Source organism: Homo sapiens, chromosome 15, assembly GCF_000001405.40.
Source record: "Homo sapiens chromosome 15, GRCh38.p14 Primary Assembly".
In the NCBI taxonomy this organism is placed as follows: domain Eukaryota; kingdom Metazoa; phylum Chordata; class Mammalia; order Primates; family Hominidae; genus Homo; species Homo sapiens.
In genome coordinates, this window is record NC_000015.10 from 22,870,238 (window position 1) to 22,890,420 (window position 20,183).

General features: G+C 48.9%; 1 protein-coding gene across 10 annotated transcripts in view, besides 3 other annotated features; it reads right to left on the minus strand.

Moving 5' to 3' along the window:
* CYFIP1 (cytoplasmic FMR1 interacting protein 1) overlaps window positions 1–20,183 on the minus strand; it is a 113,847-nt gene that overhangs the window by 3,186 nt on the left and 90,478 nt on the right. For all 10 annotated transcript variants that reach the window (NM_001324119.2, NM_001324120.2, NM_001324125.3 and 7 more), the window contains 7 exons: window positions 12,631–12,774; window positions 11,609–11,699; window positions 9,676–9,806; window positions 4,962–5,034; window positions 4,313–4,407; window positions 3,254–3,492; window positions 2,588–2,735 (listed from right to left, as the gene is read on the minus strand). In NM_001324119.2, coding sequence (NP_001311048.1) covers window positions 2,588–2,735; window positions 3,254–3,492; window positions 4,313–4,407; window positions 4,962–5,034; window positions 9,676–9,806; window positions 11,609–11,699; window positions 12,631–12,774 — 921 coding nt within the window. The remainder of the gene's footprint in view (window positions 1–2,587; window positions 2,736–3,253; window positions 3,493–4,312; window positions 4,408–4,961; window positions 5,035–9,675; window positions 9,807–11,608; window positions 11,700–12,630; window positions 12,775–20,183) is intronic.
* Window positions 3,007–3,682: an enhancer, noted in NCBI's record as "H3K27ac-H3K4me1 hESC enhancer chr15:22999149-22999824 (GRCh37/hg19 assembly coordinates)". NCBI's record gives its function as "activates a minimal SCP1, AML or CMV promoter by ChIP-STARR-seq in primed H9 embryonic stem cells {active_cell/tissue: H9 hESC(primed)}" and the evidence as "EXISTENCE:reporter gene assay evidence [ECO:0000049][PMID:30033119]".
* Window positions 3,008–3,302: an enhancer, noted in NCBI's record as "tiled region #8478; K562 Activating non-DNase unmatched - State 17:Gen3', and HepG2 Activating non-DNase unmatched - State 15:Elon". NCBI's record gives its function as "activates a minimal TATA promoter and a strong SV40 promoter by Sharpr-MPRA in K562 cells, with weaker activation in HepG2 cells {active_cell/tissue: HepG2 | K562}" and the evidence as "EXISTENCE:reporter gene assay evidence [ECO:0000049][PMID:27701403]".
* Window positions 11,430–12,629: an enhancer, noted in NCBI's record as "CDK7 strongly-dependent group 2 enhancer chr15:22990202-22991401 (GRCh37/hg19 assembly coordinates)". NCBI's record gives its function as "activates an origin of replication core promoter dependent on BRD2, BRD4, P300/CBP, MED14 and CDK7 cofactors, with strong dependence on CDK7, by STARR-seq in HCT116 cells {active_cell/tissue: HCT116}" and the evidence as "EXISTENCE:reporter gene assay evidence [ECO:0000049][PMID:35650434]".

The window sequence follows — 20,183 nt, forward strand, 5'->3', positions numbered from 1 at the left end:
TTTATTCTTCATGTTTCAAAATGTCAGGATTCTTATATTTTCTCAGAAAAATAATAGCAAACGGAATTGACACACATACTGTTCTTTTTGGGTTTTTTTTTGTAAGATAGGGTCTCACTCTGACGCCCAGGCTGGAGTGCAGTGGCATGATCACGGCTCACTGTAGCCTCAAGACATCCTCCCACCTCAGCCTCCTGAGTAGCTGGGACCACAGGCGTGTACCACCACACGCAGCTAATTTTTAAATTTAATTTTGTAAAGACAAGGTCTTATTATGCTGTCCAGGATGGTCTTGAACTCCTGAGCTCAAGCAATCCTCCTCTGCCTCAGCCTCCCAAACTGTTGGGATTACAGGTATGAGCCAGCACTCCCAGCCACATACCATCTCTTTAATGCAACAGTTGGAAGGATGAATATATTTTGAATTTAGAATCCCTCTGTTGGCTTCATGCTGCTGTAGATTCATTCATGCGCACAATTGATAGGCCTATTCCTTCCACATTGGCAATTAAGAACCTACTGTCTGCTCAAAGCTGGGGATCTCCAGATGAAGATGATGTGGTCAGTGGAGAAAGGCCAGTCAACTAACACAAGTTTTAGACTTCCAGTTTGGAAATACTGTGACGGGATACTCTGACAGACCCTCCTGCTACCACAGGAATAAAGAACACGAATTAAGAACATACACGCAAACAAAACGCTTTGAAAAGCTGGTTCTACCTATGCAGGTGGTAAGGGGGAAGCCAGGGCCTCCTCAGGGGCAGATGCCAACAGCGGCGGTGGGGTGAGGAGCAGCCCGGGCGTAAGCAAGCGGGACCACACCGAAGACTCCCCAGTGAAGCCAGGACCTCCAATTCGGCTAAAGCGGCCCTGAGTTGGTAGCACCCCATAGAGATGGGCAGATACAAATGCACATCTTGGGGGAAAGCAATCTAAATTAACTCCAGTTAAATAAAGACTCCCAAATAACCCAACACACAAGGAAACAGCAAAGTTTTAAATACCTCCAAGGCCTTCAGATACTAGAAGGAAAACACACAGAATATAGAATACATGAATTGGATAAAGAAATAAGAGATGGAAAAAGTTCAGTTAAGACAATAAAACTGTCAGTTACCAAGAAGATTTGAAGAACCTAATTGAACTTTAAAAAGTGAACTAATAATATTTTCAGAGTAAAAGCTCAGCAGATTAGAGCTGAAGTAAACAAGTTAACTAAGACACATGAATACAGTATCTGGACACAGCTCTGGGAGCCCCGGAAATGGAGGAGTGGGAGGCAGAAGGGCCCCTGAGAGAGGCCCATGACCTGGAGCCTGTGACTGCATTGCCTCCACTCCACGGGGCCTGGGCAGGTGTGGCTAAGACTGGACTGTAGAACAGGGAGAGTATCTGGGGTTGTCCAGTGGGCTCAATATAGTCACAGTCAGGGAATGTTCTCTGGCCGGAGGCAGGAGAGACATGGCAGAAGACTAGAGGCTGAGACTGCCCAACCCACCATTGCTGGAGGGGGCCACTTGGAAAGCATGAGAAGGAAGGGGGACCCAGTCCTACAGCTGCAAGGAATAATTGAGCCAACTGTGCATAAGCTTGAAGGCCTCCAGGGTGAACCCAGCACCTCAGACACTGGCCCCATGAGACTGAGCAGAGGACCCAGCTGGGCCTGGCTGAACTCAGGCATCTGACTTAGAGAATTGTGAGATAATCAGTGGTATTTAAACTGCCAAGCCTGTGGTGATTTGTTGTCATGGAAGCAATAGAAAACTAATACAACAGGGCTGGGCGCGCCTGTAATCCTAGCACTTTGGGAGGTGGGCGGATCACCTTATGTCAGGAGTTCAAGATCAGCCTGGCCAACATGGTGAAACCTAGTCTCTACTAAAAATACAAAATTACAAAATACAAAAATCAGCCGGGCGTGGTGGCAGGTGCCTATAATCCCAGCTACTCGGGAGGCTGAGGCAGGAGAATCACTTGAACCTGGGCAGCAGAGATTGCAGTGAGCCAAGATCGTGGCATTGCACCCCAGCCTGAGCAACAAGAGCGAAACTGTCTCAAAAAAAAAAAAAAAAAGAAAGAAAAAAGAAAACTGATACAACAAAGAGATGTGGAGAATAGAATGAGAAGGTCTAACATATGTTTAACTGAAGTCCTGAATGGCAAGAATAGGGAGAATGGAAAGGAGGCTGAAATATTTCAAAGATAATGGCTGAGTATTTTCCAGAATTCAACTATGAGGGATCCATAAAGCAACAAAGACAAAAGGCCTTTAAAGCAGCCAAGAAAGCACAGACTTCCAGGGGCCCGAAGACTATAGTTGCCAATATTCTGACAATGCAGATCCTGTAAGACTGGAAGTAAATCTAAGTACCTTGAGAAGGAAAACGGAACAATGAGTATTTTCTCTGCCAGACTGCTTTACTGGCCAATTATATTTAGATTCATTTTGGGAACGAAAAGAAAGTTTCTGTTGGTGGCACCTTACGTACTAGGATGAAAAACATTGCCAGAAACAAGAACTTATAACACAAAGAAAGTATGCTTTTGCAAAAGGTCCATAGATGGTGCGAGATTTTCATCCACATACCACATTTTTAATAATCTCATCTTTGCCATCATGTTTCTGGACTTTAAGTAGATGGTAGCAGAAATCCAGCACAGCAAAACGCCGCTGCTGCCCAAGAAGTACGATGATCATACAGCCAGCCCAGTGTAGCCCATCACCAAAGCACTGCCTAGGAACAAGAAGCAGAAACAGAATGGGAGATGAGTGATACGTTATGAAGTCTTTTCTCAGTCTGTCTCCAGATGTCAGTGACCAAGCCATCTGCATTACTGTCTGTGCCTACACAGTCACCTTCCACAGCCAGGAAGAGAATGCCGGGCAGCCAGGTGGCTGTTCCCTGGTTTTGATAAATAACTTTTTTGGGCTCTTCTGGTGTGCTGCTTCCTGTCCCTTTTTAGATCATATCCCCTCTGTGATGAATGACTCTATGGACCTCCCACCTAGAAAAATGCACGCCCAACGTGCATACAATTGCCGTGGGTTCAGAGACTCCCTGAATACTAGAGTCCTGAGTCAGCTCTTTGGCATCAAGTAAGAATCCCCACTACAGGAGGCTTAAAAGCCGCTCAGTGAGTTTCTGGTCCACTTCCTGAGCATGGCTGGCTGCTTGTTAGCCTAACACGCCTCCCCTCCCCCACAGCTCCTCCCCTCCTCTGGGGCTTTGTCCTGCTCTCAGCACACACTTACTCGACTGTGAACTCGTGTGTCCCCACGGGAATGCAGTAGACAAACTGCATGGCACTCCACAGTCTGTGAAACTCCACACACTCGTCCACATGCATGACCCCATTGCTGGGCAGAGGCCCGCGCCAGATGGGGTCATCCAGAAAGCTCCGGATCCGTGTCAGGATGACCTCAAACATGGACAGGCCGCAGCAGAGGCGCTCCTTTGTCAGCAGGTCCCCCTCTCTTGCGATGGCAATTTGCTGCAGAAAGGACAAGCCGTGGAATGCCGTGGGCCTCCAGGCATCCAGCTACTCCACATCCTCTATGTCTCTTTTCTCTTGAGACAGGGTCTTGCTCTGCTGCCTAGGCTGGAGTGCAGTGGCACAATCACAGCTCGCTGCAGCCTTGACTTCCCAGGCTCAAGCGACCAGGTGCATGCCACCACACCCGGATAATTTTTGTATTTTTTGTAGAGATGGGGTTTCGCCATGTTGCCCAGGCTGGTCTCAAACTCCTGTCTTGGCCTCCCAAAGTGCTGGGATGACAGGAATGAACCCCGGTGCCCGGCCCTGGAAAAATGTTTTGGGTGGAGCGGGTCTACTGGCAGCTAGTGTGGAGGCCAGGGATGCTGCTAACCATCCTACGATGCACAGGGCGCCCCAGCCCCCACCATAGAGTTATCTGGTCCAAAATGGCTGAGAAACCCTGACTTAGCATAAGCAGCTGGATCACTGTAGAACTCTACCCTGACACCTTGCCTCCTGGCCTAATTTCTTCTGTTCTTAAACACCTATGGGAAAGCCTTCTTCATGAAGGGCTGGACAGTGAAAGTGATGTCTTCTGTGTAAGCCTTACGTGCCAGGTGATGTGCTAAGCTCTTTCCAGGTGTTAGCTCATCTGAATCCTCCCACCACCCAGGGAAGCAGTCCTGGTGCACACCCCACTTGCAACACTTGAGGCCTGAGCAGCCACGCAGCCGCTGGACTTCACGATGCCTTCCAGTCTGGCTCCCAACCAGGCCACCTGGCCTGGCATGGATGCCCAGCTTGCAACAGCCACAGCCATCACGGTACACGTTACCTGAGGGGTCCCCAGTCTTTCAATCAGTGGGACAAGATGCAGCGGGGCGTACTTTGATTCTAGTCTTTTCATTTTGGCATCAAGTCTCTCCCCCTCTGCAGTAGAAAAAATATTTTACTATATTCTGCTCCTTTGTATGAAACGGTAATTGCAAAGGTTTACATTTGTTTAAAAAACAAAAGATTTTTAAGTTAACATTATGGATACAGATTCTCTTTGAAAATTATTTTACAGAACTGGCTCATTTAATATTTTAATTCAAACCGGCAGAACCAATTTTCTGCTCAATATTCACTTTTCATTTATTGAATATTCCAAATGTAATCGAAAGCAGAAAATGGCACAATGAGCCTGTACCCATCATCTGCTATAATTATCAACTCATGGCCACTCTGCTTCTTATATACCCAACTCCCCCTGCTCCCATGCTATTGATATTTGGAAGCAATTCTAAGACATCATATCATTGCAGCTCTATTTCTCAATCTTCATTTAACTAGGTTCTGTACACTCCTCATTACCCCTGGGTATGACTGAACAGGCGCCAAACCCACAATCTGCACTGGTCCTTAGCTCTCCGGTTGCATACAGTGGGCACCACCCCCACAGAGGGCAGTCTGGACTCCCTGGTGGGGGTCAGCAGGCTCACCTTTCACATGGACTCGCGGCAAGATGTTCTGGAAAGGAGCCGCGTGCAGCAGGTCACACACTTCTTCTAAAGACTAGAGCAGAGAAAGAGAGGGTCAAGCTAGGAAGGGTATCTCGCCAGAGAGCAATCTGGTGCTGAAAACCAAGAACTTCTTTGCCTTTTAGCATAAAATAAACTCTGTAAGTTTATTTTATCTCTGTCAAGAGATTTCTGGGATGATGGAAATGCTTCCGTCTGTCCTGTCCATTCCGGCAGCCGCCAGCCATGCATGCCTAGTAAGTACTTGGAATGTGGCTTGGCACTTGAGGAACTGAATTTTATTTTTAGTTACATTTAATTAATGTAAATATAGACACAGGTAAGACCCAGTGTTGAATGTGTGCTCTGTTTTCCAGGATTTACCTGTCTAAAAGCTCTCGCCCCATCCTTCCCTGCTAATTTGCCACCAGGCTCTTAAGAACCACAGTTTATGACAAGATCCCACCACACTGACAGAAGGAAGGGGCGTCTCCTGCAAACAACACAGGAGATGGAAGGAGTAGGGGTGGCCTACCCTGGTGTCCACATCCACTCATTCCCTACAGAGCCCAAAACAAAGTTCTAGGCCATCATGCCGAACTGCTCTTGGGTCACAAGCTCCTTTACAGAGGTAATAAAAACCACACAAGGTCCGTTCTCCAGAATAACATATATATATATAAAGAAAATGTACCTCCAGGATCATGAGGACAGCAGAACACCCCAAATCCACCAAGAACCCAAAGATGGTCAAAAATTGAGCAACTGCTGTTCATCTTTAGAGGTGAGGGCTCTTAGGCCACCAGGAAGGGCCTCTTCAGACCACAGTGCGCTCACCACCCCCACGGAGCAGGCAGAAGGTGATGGAGCCTTCAGTGCCTCCGACCCCACAGCCATGCTGAAATCTTAAAGTCCCATAGGAGTAAAAGAAATGATTAAACAAAGAAACAGCTATCAGAAAATCAAGAAATACCGACAATGAGATTTTAACTTCTGAGGACCTCCCAGAGATGATGGCAAAACTAAGACCAAGAGGAAGAAAGGCAGACTTTTCCGTACTCATCAACGTCAATCCAGTGCCAGACGCCGGCCAGACACCATCTGCTCCGCTTCTCTTTCCCTGTTTCTAATGCAGCATCACACTCCATCCAGAAGCCAACAGAGGGCCAACTGTTGCCATGACAATGCACAGAAACCGTGCCTTTAAGCTAAGAGATTATCCTAGTAAATTCCATTCTGCCTGCTTCAAACTCTTGTGGTTCTATAATTATTTATGTCCATGAGTCCTGGGATGGACATAAATAATTATAGAACCACAAGAGTTTGTTTATGTGAAGAATGTCAGGCCAGGTGCAGTGGCTCACGCCTGTAATCCCAGCACTTTGGGAGGGCGAGGCGGGAGGTCGGGAGTTCAAGACCAGCCTGACCAACATGGAGAAACCCCATCTCTACTAAAAACACAAAATTAGCCGGGTGTGGTGGCACATGCCTGTAATCCCAGCTACTCGGGAGACTGAGGCAGGAGAATCACTTGAACCCAGGAGGTAGAAGTTGTGGTGAGTCAAGATTGTGCCACTGCACTCCAGCCTGGGCAACAAGCGTGAAACTCCAGTCTAAAAAAAAAAAGAAATGATGTAAAGAAAAGCTTTTGACACTTTATCTTATTTCCAAAAAGGGCAGCTGGACAGAAGAGAAACCAGCCCTAAGGGGTCTCTGACACTATCTCTATCAATTCCACAAGGCTGTCTCCCCATTAAGAAAGCTCGGGTCTCACCTCCCTGACCTGAGGCCAATGACCAGACAGGCATCCTCAGGCTTGGACATACACAGAGGCTATGGTTTGGATGTGGTTTGTCCCTGCCAAAACTCATGGTGAAATTTAATTGCCAATGTAGCAGTGTTGGAAGGTGGTCCGAGAGGTGATGGATTTCTTACAGGGCTGGGTCAGTTCTCCCACAATTGGGTTAGTTTTTGTGGGAATGGATAAGCTCCTGCGAGAGCAGGTTGTTGTAAGCAAGGCTGCCTCTCATGTTTGTTCTCTTGGCAACACCCGCTTCCCCTTCTCTGTTCCCCCAGAGCTGAAGCAGCATGAGACCCTGACAGATGGGCTGCCTGATCTTGGACTTCCCAGCCTCCAGAGTCATGAGCCAAATAAACTCCTTTTCTTTATAAATTACTCAGTCTCAGGCACTGCCACAGCAACACAAAATGGACTAAGATAGCAGATGAGATAGGGCGCGCCTTATGCTGTAAGTTCAGGAAAAGTCACCCATGAAAGGAATATTCCTGTATTAAATATTTAAAATTCATAATGAGAGATTATACTTAAAGAGATGCTTCCTAACATCTGGTTTTTAACAATTCACAATTATTTGGGGAACATGTCCTTAGAGCAGGGCCACCCTGGACACTGGCTTCTTGCTGGTCTGAGACACTGGTGGGTTCTCCATCTTGTACCCCTCACACTCACAGTGGTGAGGGGAGCATGGGAGGAGATGCTACTTGGGGTCCCCACCGAGCCTGTGGGTGGCCAGGACAATGAAGGCCTGGGGCTGCTGCAGTCCCTCTTTGAAACCACCAGGAGAGGGTCTGCCTAGGCGTGCAGGCATAGAGGGAGCCGAAGATGCAGGTCTGATGGAGGCTGTCAGCTCCCAGGCGTGTCACGCCTGACCTCGGACTCCCCTGACATGTGAGCCAACACATTCTCTTTCACCGCACAGGCTGGTGTGAGGCGGCTGGTCCAGAGGCTCAGTCCCCAGAGGCCTGGCAGTCTGACAGCAATGCCCTGAGCTGTGTACAGACCACCCTCTCCCTGTTCTTCCCAAACACAACTCTGCCTTTGCAAAGCTACCAGAGACCTAAAGACAAGAGACTGCTTTGGGAAACAACATAGGAAAGGCCTCCCCAGGCAGCTCTGGAGACGAAGTGCCATTCCCATGCACAAGCCAATACGCTTCGCCAGGGTATGTGGTGAACCAATCCCCAAACAGGGCAGAGCAGAGAGCCCTGGGGAGGGAACATGCTGAAGAAGAAGGAGCAAGGCAGGGAACGCGGCAAGTGGGGACTCGAGAGTCATGTTAGAGCAACGATGAGCAAGACAATGTGCTATGATGTCAGAGACAGATGCCTGGACCAGCGAGATGTGGCAGAAAGCCAGGAGACAGGCCGGTGTGCCCATGAAAAGCTGGCAGATGGCAGGGGACACCACTGGTCAGCAACGGGAGGAGGAGCCCTTCAGCCACTAGAGGAGGGACAAATGGGTCTCCACAGAGAGAAAGAAGCTTCCTCTGCCTCTCACATTATACACAAAGACCAACTCCAGAAGGATTACAAACTTCCATGCAGAAGGCAAAGCTTCAAATCTTTAGATGACAATGTAAAGGAATGTCTTCATGACCCCAAGGCAGGGAAAACATCTTCAAAAAGATACTGAAAGTTCCATGTGCAGATGGTAGATTAAAAAAAAAAAAAAGTGCTAATCATTAAAAAAAAAAAGGCTACATCCAAATTAAGAGCATTTTATCAAAAATCACCACTATCAGAGTGAAAAGGTAAGCCACAAATGGGAGAAGAATTTACGATATGTGCAGCACATAAAGAGTCTACACAGAATGAGCTGTAGAAAAATAGGCAAAAGAGGCCGGGCGCAGTGGCTCACGCCTGTAATCCCAGCACTTTGGGAGACCAAGGCGGGTGGATCACAAAGTCAGGAGTTGGAGACCAGCCTGGCTAACACGGTGAAACCCCGTCTCTACTAAAAATACAAAAAATTAGCTGGGCGTGGTGGTGGGCGCCTGTAGTCCCAGCTACTTCTGAGGCGGAGGCAGGAGAATGGCGTGAACCCGGGAGGCGGAGCTTGCAGTGAGCCAACATCACGCCACTGCACTCCAGCCGGGGTGACAGAGCAAGACTCCGTCTCAAAAAAAAAAAAAAAGAAAAAGAAAATAGGCCGAAGAACTCAATGGGGCATTTCACAGGAAAAGAAACAAGAAGACGCAACGAACGAAGAGATGCCCACCTCGTTAGTCACGATGGAAGGCAGGAGAGGGCTACCTGAGATTCCATTTCCCACTGGCTTTCCCAGCCCAGGAGGTTATAAACTGAGCTGCTGTGATGTACAGGACAGAGGGACAGCCAGACAGCACCACAAAAAGGCGGCCAGTCGAAAACACGAGGCGTCCACTGTGCCACGTCCTAAGAGGGGGTGGGCTCCCGGGGGCTCCCCTTTCATGCTGGCCACTCGTGCTGTCCACCATGGGGCACGTGCAGCCATTCAGATTTAAATCAGTGATAATTCAGTAACATTTAGCACTCAGTTCCTCAGTCACACTGAGCCACACTTCAACTGCTCAGCGGCCTCAGGCATACAGAGGGCCCTCCTGCGCAGCAATGCCTTATACCTTACAGGCACACCAAATATGTTCATTTAGATGTTGAAAACATCACATAATATAACAGTTTTATGACGTTAACACAGAAAAACATTCTTGAGACAGTGAACTACAGTACATTTTTGTTTTTCAATTGAAGGGAACAAATTCAAACTAAAGTCTCAACAGCCACAAAAAAAAAAAAATGATGCACAGCTGTTGCCACACCCCCACTAAAGAACCCGCCAAAGAAAGCCCTCCCCTGGCCGGTGGGGTGGGGTGGGGTGGGCTGGGGCGGGGAGGGGCGGCGTTGGGGGGCCACTCACCAGGCTCTGCTCGATGAGCAGGCAGAAGAGGATGGCGTTCCCCACCTCCCGCAGGTTCTGGAAGCACACCGTCTTCAGCTCTGCGTACTCCACGATGTCCTTCAGCTGGTGGTGGAAGAACTCCAGGATACCTACGGTGGCGGGAGTGAGGTGGGGTTGGGGGACTGGAGGGGGCCGGGCCCTAGCAGCCTGGGTCCACAGCCAGGAGCACCTGCCGTTCTGACACCGCCATCAAGCCTGGCTATAAGGACAGCCACAACGTCCCATCCCCAGCATCTTCCCTGCAGCGGTGGTTTATTCGCCACCTGGGCACGTTCTCCACACACCATGTGACCCCGGGCCTTGGCTCTGAAGCCTCTTTTCAACTCAACCTCATATCTTTAGGGAAGGCTATGATGATAGGAAACGTCACCACATGACAAGAACAAAGACTGCACCACATCCCCAGTGGGGGCAGACAAGGTATTTGACAAAATGCAATCTCTCTTCGCAGGCATGGAAGGGGCCGCACCTAATCTGAGAAAGGGCATCTAGGAAGCCTGCAGCTAACTAACAGCACGCCCAACGGGAGGCCGCACACCAGGCCAGCTCCAGAGCAAGGCAGGCGTCTCAACGGCATCCCGGACAGCGGAATAAGGCACAAAAAGACGCAAGGTGCAAATATGGGACAGAAGGCCAACGTTTCCCAGCCAATCTACAGCTTCAACTCCAGCCCAGACAGAAACCGGCAGCTGACCGCACAATGAACGTGGCATCAGGAGGGGCCTAAACTACCCTGGGAAGAGCAAAGCGGGAGGCTCAGCAGACCTTAAACCCTTGTCCCAGCAGGTCTTGCCCGAGTGCCCCTTCCCCAAGGACCAGCGGCCCGACACGGCCCCTCTGCTCCTCCCAGCTCTCAGCACCGCTGCAGGGACTCAGCCCCACTTGGCGGGGGTGGGGGCGGGGACGCTCATGCACCTGTGTCATTCCCAGCAAGCTTTCCCTGTACCACACTGGGAAATGGCTCCCTCCTCAACATCTGAAATTTCCATCTCTAGTCACGACATAAGCATTGGTTTTAATCATCCCAGCATTCCTCCTCTACTTTCTGACAATAAACTGAAAACAGATTCTCTTGAGCCAGGGCCGTGCTGATGGCTACTTCCCCATGGTGGCTGAGGGGGACACCTTATCGTCTCCTCAAACACCAGCAACAGCCCTGGGGAGTTGCCAAAAAGCAAAAAGTCCTGAGCCACGTGTTCAAGAGCTCAGCCACGCTGACTGACTGCCCATCAGGACAGTGCCTCGTCGGTCACCCACGTGCAGGCTCAAGTCGCTTTACAACACAAGGCTAGTGTTCAACTGTCCAGCTTTCAAGAAAACTCGGCCAGGTAAGAGACTAAAAGCAGTTTTGTTACGTGACAAAGGTCCCTGTCATACAATTTTATGAGACAATGCTTTCTGAGATCACTAAAGCTATTTATTTGCATTGCCCCAAACCAACCCACAGCAAGTCACGTGGGCCTGTCCCTAAGAGCACACCTGCCTGAGGGCCCTGCAGCTGGACCTGCAGATGGATGGGACGGCCTGGGGGCAGGGGCAGGCCTTGCACCATCTCGGTGGGCCTGTCTCTGAGCCTCAAGTCCCTATAGGCCCAGCAGGGCAGCAGGACCCAGCAGTCGGCTCTCTCGCCTCATTGGGTGGCAATTCTTTCGTAGGGGTGCCCGAGAGCGTGGTGTTCAGGGGTCTCTTGTCTCAACTCTTGCAGGCTGACCTCTGCTTCCTCGCCTGCAGACAGTGACCCCAACACACCTCTTCCTGGTTGTAAGGTGCATTTGTCTGTCTACTGCCTCTTCCCACATGGCAAATCTAATCCTTCTCAAGAATTTCTGACTTGAATTCCTTTCTGACCTCTCCACAGACAGCACTGTGAGCTCCACACGCCCGCACTCACCAGGAGAGCCGTACTCGTGCCGGGGCAGGCGGCAGATCTTGGGCATCACCTCCATCAGCGTCTTCACGTACTGCAGGATTGTGCCTTGCAGCTGCCGGGGAGATGAGACGGGCTGCGTCAGCCACCCCACTCCGCTCTGCTAACGCCTGTGGCCGGCGCATACCCTGAAACAAGTCTGTTAGCAAAGAGCTCGGTAACCAGCAAGGCTGCAGGATCGTCTGGCTGGGGAATAAAATCCACCCCGGGAGAGAGAGCAACCATCACCAGGTGGCTTCCCATGACTGAATTCATGTTCTGAAACTGGACTCCTCTTTCAAGATGAAAGTGGTCCCGGGGTGCCACAATGAGGGGAGAGCTTTGTCGCCAGGTGTCTCCTATGGGGATGCACCCCAGCATCGTGAGCACTGCCAGCTCCAGGGTCCCCCAGGACGCTGTCTGTGCTCCTGGGTGCGGCCCCAGGCTCAGCTGTGGTGAGGTCAGCAATCCTAACACCCTCCAAGCTGCCACATGTTTTGGGACAGAGTCCCCAGCGGGTCCTGGAAGGACCTGTTTGGGTCACGGGCTGATGGCTGTGCCAAGTGACCAAACTCTTACATGGTCTCAAGTCACAGAAGATTAAAATAATAAAAAGGATGAAAAATTATAAAAAGTAAGTTATGTCTAGAAAACTAAATCCAGGCTGGCCAAGGTGGCTCACGCCTGTAACCCCAGCACTTTGGGAGGCCAAGATGGGCAGATCTCTGGAGCCCAGGAGTTCAAGGACAGCCTGAGCAACATAGCAAGACCCCCTCTCTACACATACAAATAAAAACTCTGCGTATCAGTTAAAATAACCTGGACCCATTCTCTTGAGTTTGAAAAGATGAGGGAAGTATCAAACTATATATGGTCAGAAATGTTTGAAGCCTAATTGAACGAATCCAGCTGTTGGAGAATCACAGTCCAGGCAGAGAAGACCCTCTGGCATGGGTGCCCCAGGGAATCCAGGCTGTGTGAAAGAAGCATGTCCAGGGAACACTCACCAGGCTCTTGACGACCTTCAGCAGCTCCTCCATGACCACGGCGATACCCTGGTAGCCGAGAAGCCGGCAGATGACTTGAAAGTGTGGAGGTCCCACGAAGTTCCGGTAGCTGCCGTAAATGCTGGAGTAGGCCAAGTTCAAAGCCTGGAAAACAGGGCACAGAGCTCTCAGCATGGTCCCCGCACACATGTGCAGATGAAGAACTGTGTGAGAAGATCACTCAACACACACAGGCTCAGGTGAGCGGGTCTGAGTCTACTGACTTGTAAAATCTACTGCCCTTAACTGGTACAGTTACAAAACCTACTTAGCCTGCCACCAAAAAGAAACCTGCTAAAATAGAAAAGAAAAGAAAACCATTTGGTGTTTCAACATTTGTTGAATAGCCGACTCGCTAGAAGCCATTTTGAAGTCTAGAATGAGAAATGAATACGACCCAGAGTTTCCCCCTGCCTCCCAGTCTCCCAGCAGGATGCCCAAGGTCGGACCCTGAAGGGGCCGGGGGAGCTGCCTTCTCAGGATGCACAGGGCACCCCCGGAGCCGGGAGAGAGACCCCTGTGGAGTGGGAAGGCGAGGAAGGTAGTTAGGGTGTGTATTAGTCCGTTTTCACACTGCTATAGAGAAATACCCAAGACTGCATAATTTATTTTAAAAAAAAGCAGGTTTAGGCCAGGCGCGGCGACTCACACCTGTAATCCCAGCCCTTTGGGAGGCCGAGGTGGGCAGATCACAAGGTCAGGAGATGGAGACCATCCTGGCTAACACGGTGAAACCCCGTCTCTACTAAATATACAAAAAATTAGCCGGGCGTGGTGGCAGGTGCCTGTAGTCCCAGCTACTCGGGAGGCTGAGGCAGGAGAATGGCATGAACCTGGGATGTGGAGCTTGCAGTGAGCCGAGATCGCGCCACTGCACTCCAGCCCGGGTGACAGAACGAGACTTCATCTCAAAAAAAAAAAAAAAAAAAAAGGCAGGTTTAACTGACTCACAGTTCCACATGGCTGGGGAGGCCTCAGAAAACTTACAGTTATGCAGAAGGTAAAGGGGAAGCAAGCACCTTCTTCACAAGAAGGCAGGAAAGATAAGAGAGAACAAAAGGCGAAGCCCCTTATAAAACCATCAGATCTCGTGAGAACTCACTCACTATCACAAGAACAGCATGTGGAAAACTGCCCCCATGAACCAGTCAACTCCCACCAGCTCCCACCCTTGACATGTGGGCATAATGGGGATTACAAGTGGAGATGAGATTTGGGTGGGGGACACAGCCAAACCTTATCATTCTGCCCCTGGCCCCTCCCAAATCTCAATCATGCTTTCCCAACAGTGCCCCAAAGTCTTAACTCATTCCAGCATTAATTCAAAAGTCCAAGTCCAAAGTCTCATCTGAGACAAGTCAAGTCCCTTCCACCTATGAGCCTATATAATAAAAAACAAGTTAGTTACTTCCTAGATACAATAGGGGTACAGGCATTGGATAAATGCTCCCATTGCAAATGGGAGAGACTGGCCAAAACAAAGGGGCTCCAGGCCCCATGGAAGCCCAAAGTCCAGTGGGGCAGTCATTAAATCTTAAAGCTTTAAAATAATCTCCTTTGACTCCGTGTCTCTCATCCAGGTCACACTGATGTAAGATGTGGGCTCCCACAGTCTTGGGCAGCTCCACCCTGTGGCTTTGCAGGGTACAGTCCCCCTCCTGGCTGTTTTCACAGGCTGGCATTGAGTGTCTGTGGCTTTTCCAGGTACACAGTACAAGCTGACTGGGGTCTGGAGGAGGGTGGCCCTCTTTTTACAGCTCCACTAGGCAGTATTCCAGTGGGGACTCTGTGTGTGGGGCTCCAACCCCCCATTTCCCTTCCTCACTGCCCTAGCAGAGGTTCTCCATGATGGCTCCACCCCCACAGCAAACCTCTGCATGGACATTCAGGCATTTCCACATGTCCTTTGAAATCTAGGTGGTCCAACACCACGCGGAAGCCACCAAGGCTTGGGGCTTGCACCCTCTGAAGCAACAGCCTGAGCTGTATGTTGGCCCCTTTTAGCGACCAGGAAGCAGGGATGCAGGGCACCAAGTCCTGAAGCTGCACGGGGATGGGGGGTGGGGTGGGGAGGTGGGGGAGGGGGAACCATAGGGGCAGGGCAGGCCCTGGGCCCAGCCAAGAAAACCATTTTTCCCTCCTAGGCCTCTGGGTTTATGATGGGAGGGGCTGCCTCGTACATGTCCTGGAGACATTTTCCCCATTGTCTTGGTGATTGACATTCAAAATTTCTGCAGCCAGCTTGAATTCCTCTCCAGAAAATGGGTTTTTCTTTTCCATCACATCCTCAGGCTGCAAATTTTCCAAACTTTTATACTCTGCTTCCCTTTTAAACAAACTCCAATTTCAGATCTCTCTCAAGTTCAATGTACCACGTATCTCTAGGGCGGGGCAAAATGCTGCTAGTCTCTTGGCTAAAGTGTAGTAAAAGTGACCTTTGCTCCAGTTCCCAACAAGCTCCTCAATTCCATCTGAGACCACCTTAGTTAGCCTGCACTTTATTGTCCATAGCACCATCAGCATTTTGGTCAAAACCATTCAACAGGCAGGGCGTGGTGGCTCACGCCTGTAATCCTAGCACGTTGGGAGGCCGAGGTGGGTGGATCACAAGGTCAGGAGTTTGAGAACAGCCTGGCCAACACGGTGAAACTCTGTCTCTACTAAAAATACAAAAAAATTAACTGGGCATGGTGGTGGGCACCTGTAATCCCAGCTACTTGGGAGGCTGAGGCAGGAGAATTATTTGAACCTGGGAGGCGGAGGTTGCAGTGAGCTGAGATTGCGCCATTGCACTCCAGCCTGGGCAACAGGGTGAGACTCCATTTCAAAAAACAAACAAACAAACAAAAAACATTCAACAAGTCTCTAGAGAGTTCCAAACTTTCCCACATCTTCCCGCCTTCTTTGGAGCCCTCCGAACTGTTCCAACCTCTGCCTGTTACCCAGTTCCAAAGTCACTTCCACATTTTCAGGTATCTTTATAGCAGTACTCCACTCTACCAGTACCAATTTACTGTATTAGTCCATTTTCACCCTGCTAAAAATAAATACCTGAGACTGGATAATTTATAAAGGAAAGAGGTTTAACTGACTCATAGTTCCACATGGCTGGGGAGGCCTCAGAAAACTTCAATCATGGCGGAAGGTGAAGGGGGAGCAGGCACCTTCTTCACAAGGTGGCAGGAATGAGAAGAGAGAGCAAGGGGGAAGAACCCCTTATAAAACCATCAGATCTCGTGAGAACTCACTATCATGAGAACATCGTCACCCCCATGATCCAATCACCTCCCACCAGGTCCCTCCCTTGACTCATGGGGGTTATGAGGATTACAATTTCAGATGAGATTTGGGTGTGGACATAGAGCCAAAACATATCAAGGTGGTTCCTGCAGAAGGACACCCCTCAGCTTGTCTAAGGACACGGGTGCAGATAGCAGGAGACCCCTACTGTGAGTATTCAGTGCTATAAATTTCCCTCTCAGCACTTTAGCTGTATACCAAATAAATCAAATAAATAAATCGAATAATCAAATCAAATAAATCACTTCTTTAGCTGTATATATCAAATCTTGATATATTTACATTTCATTCAATTCAATGTATTTTTAAATTTCTCTTGAGATTTCCTCTTCAACCCAAGGATTATTTAAAAGTGTGCTAATTTCCGAGCATATAGAGATTTTCTGGTTATCTTTTTATTATTGGTTTCTGGTTTGAGTTCATTGTAGTTGGAGAACACTCTCCATAGGATTTCAGTTCTTTAAATTTTGTTGAGGTGAGTTTTATGGCCCAGCGTATGGTCTATCTTGGTGAATGTTTCATGGGAATCTGAAAAACGTATATATTCTGCTGTTGTGGGGTAGAGGAACCTACACACGTCAGTTAGATCCTGTTGGTCGATGGTGGTGTTCAGTTCTTTTCTACTGTTGCTGATTTTGTGTCTACTTGTTCTGTCAATTACTAAAATGAGAGTTGAAGTCCCCAACTGTAACTGTGGGATTGTTCACTTCTCCTTTACTTCTATTAGTCTTTCCTTCAAGTACAGAAGCCTTGTTGTTTGACGCATAAACATCTAGCATTGCTATGTTTTCTTCGTGGTGGTTTGACTTATTATTATGTAATCTCCCTGGCAATATTCTTTGCTCTGAAGTTGATTTTATCTTATATTAATACAGCCACTCCTGCTTTCTTCAGCCTCCGCCTGATCTGTCTGCTTCCATTACTGATCCTGCTTTGTACCCCTTTGCTGGAATAAACTGCAGCTGTAAGACTCTGAGTTATGTGAGTCCTTCTAGTGAATTATCAGATGTGTAGAGGGTCATGAGACCCCCCAAAACAAAGAGCCAAAACTGATTACAGTGACGAGATTAGACAACACTGAAGGACAGAAACCCCACCCAGTGTCTGTCCCAGGCCCAAGCCCTGCGGCCCGCTGCAACCTTGAAGAAACCATCTACACATCTTCGCCCACACCCCCTCCTCCCAGCCTCTCCTCAGAGCAGCACCCTGGGCTTTATGTGCTGGGATTCTGTGTAATATTTTTGGTTGATAACAGGTTCAATGTTTGAAAAGAAGAACACGAAAGTCATCAGTGAAATCTAATGACCTCATGTTACAAGTGAGAGAATTCATTCTCAGACCCGCCCTGACTGGCTCAGGATGACAGCTGTCAGAGGAGGCATCACTCAATGAACACATGGTCCCAGGCCTCTGGCCCCCTGCCCAGTGTCCGGTTTCCCAGTAGACTAAGCTCACCCCAAAGATGACACATCCGAGAGACAACACAGCTAGGGTAACAAACAGCAGATGTGACTTAACTACTCAGGGGAGTGGGAGGAGGCACTACTTCTGGGGAAGGGCACCGTCACAAACACTGTGCTGTAAAAGACTTAAGCTCAGAAGAGGAAGCACTCTGGATGTCCAGTCACACAGCTCAGTTCAAGACAGACTCTGCTGCCCGTGCCTGATACAGTCTCCAGCCTTGTTCGACAAGCAGAGAAGGTGGGTCACAGCACACAGAGCCGGCTCTGGACTCGCCAGTCGTGCAACTTGGGTGCTCTAACTTTCACGACACTCTGAGCCTTCATCTGTGAAATGGGGACAATCTTACTTATGAGATAAAGAATACTAGTTAATGTGCTCAAAAGGGTGTCTTACTGAGAAGCAGGCATGCTGTAAGTGGTGACATGACCAAGAACGAAAAAGATAACATTGCATAAATGGGTCCCTCATCTAAGTTTATTTTATTCCTGCAAGATACCAGCCCTAGTTCACTATTCATAAAAAAAGCACTAATCTGTTTTTTGAGTGGATTCCTGTGTATTCCATAATCACACAGATATACACTGTGACTCATACTGCAGCAGAAGCAAGTGCACGTGGCATATGTGAGTGCTTGTGAGTACAAGGGCTGTCTGCTGTGAGCACATGACTCAGCTCAGACATCATCTCTTTTAGTATCCAGCCTCTTCTTGAGTGGGTGGTGGTCAACATCAGTGTCACTTGTATATGTCTAAATAATCTAATAGAAAATTACTGGTTTAGGACTAGGCACGGTGGCTCACGGCTACATCCCAGCACTTTGGGAGGCCCAGGCAGGAGATCTGATTGAGCTCAGGAGTTCGCGACCAGCCTGTGCAACATGGTGAAATCCCATCTCTACAAAAAACACAAAAATTAGCCAGATGTGGTGGTGCATGCCTGTAGTCCCAGCCACTTGGGAGGCTGAGGCAGGAGGATTGCTTGAGCCTGGGAGGCGGAGGTTTCAGTGAACTGTGATTGCGCCACTGCAATCCAGCAATGGGTGACAAAGCAAAAACCCTGTCTCAAAAAAAAAAAAAATTACTGGTTTATGGCCAGGCACAGTGGCTCACGCCTTTATCCCAGCACTTTGGGAGGCTGAAGCAGGTGGATCATTTGAGGTCAGGAGTTCGAGACCAGCCTGGCTAACATGGTGAAACCCTGTCTCGACTAAAAATACAAAAATTGGCCAGGCGTGGTGGCACACTCCTGTAATCCCAGCTACTCGGGAGGCTGAGGCACACGAATCACTGGAATCACAATAATCACTGGAGGTTGCAGTGAGGCAAGATCACACCACTGTACTCCAGCCTAGGGGACAGACTCTGTCTCAAAAAAAAAAAACACACAAAAAAAACAAAAAACAAAAAGAAAAACCATGTACTAGCTTAGGTTTTAACAAAAACGACACAAACAGTTTCTGAAACGGAGGCAGAAATCTCTTACAGTGAGGTTCAAGTTCAGTTGCAAATAGTTGAATTTAAAAAAAAATCAAATTCACATCATCAAATCTTTCTTTCTCTCCAAAAGAGCATCAGCTTTGCAAATGCCTCCAAGTGCCCATTCCCTGGAGCCATCCCTGAGGTGGTGCCCATGCACACAGGGCAGCAGGGTGCTCTGGCAGTGTAGGGGCTGACTCAAGGCAAATGTGCACCCCGCACCACCACCCTGGAACAGCGCGCTCATGTTGGCATCTTAATGGAAGCAACAGTGCCTCCCTGCACTCCTGGGAGAAAATCCTGGAGAATAAAAACGTGTGTCAAGAGCCTTTAACACCACAAAGGGCACACAGACACACTGGGCAGCAAAGATGTCACCACAGTGCTATCCTGGGATCTCAAAAACCAACCCCACGAGGCCCCTTCCAGGACTCGATCCATCAGAACCGCAGGTGCACGGCCCCACGCAGTCGGGTCGCCTGCCTACCCCCCGCCTGCCTCCCTCGCTTCCACAGCCATCCTCTCCAGATGGGGGTGACAGAGGAGCCTCTCTGCCCAGTGCCCTCTGCGCACAAATGCCTCTCTATCAGGGAGTGACAAAAACCTACTTTATTGTTATGCCTAAAACAGGGATTAAAAATTTCAAAGTCAAGAGAAGCCCAGAGCAAATCTTTTAGTTCACAGAGACCCAAGAAATTATTCTCACTCGCCAAACTTTCTAGTCCTATCTTCTAAAATAACATTTCCTTCAGTTCTAAAGGTAAAACACTACATTTTACTTTCAGAAGCAGAAGCCTCAGAACACTTACTCTAATCCTTTAAAGAAACATCCTTTTGAGTATAACTAATTATTGCATAAAAGTCAGCTTCAACTGGGCACCACCATTGGCTCATGCCTGTAATTCCAACACTTCGGGAGGCCAAGGTGGGCGGATCATTTGAGGTCAGGAGTTCAAAACCAACCTGGCCAACATGGTGAAACCCCATCTCTACTAAAAAAAAAAAAAATACAAAAAATTGTCCGGGCATGGTGGCAGGCGCCTTTAATCCCAGCTATTTGGGAGGCTGAGGCAGGAGAATTGTTTGAACCCAGGAGGTGGAGGTTGCAGTAAGCCGAGATTGTGCCCTGCACTCCATCCTAGGTGATAGAGGAGACTCCATCTCAAAAAAAAAAAAAAAAAGAAAAGTCAACTTCAATCCTTGCTAGAAAGAACATGGGAGTATCACATGGAGCAGAATGGAGGTGAATTCTTAACCACTCACAGGGCTTCGGGA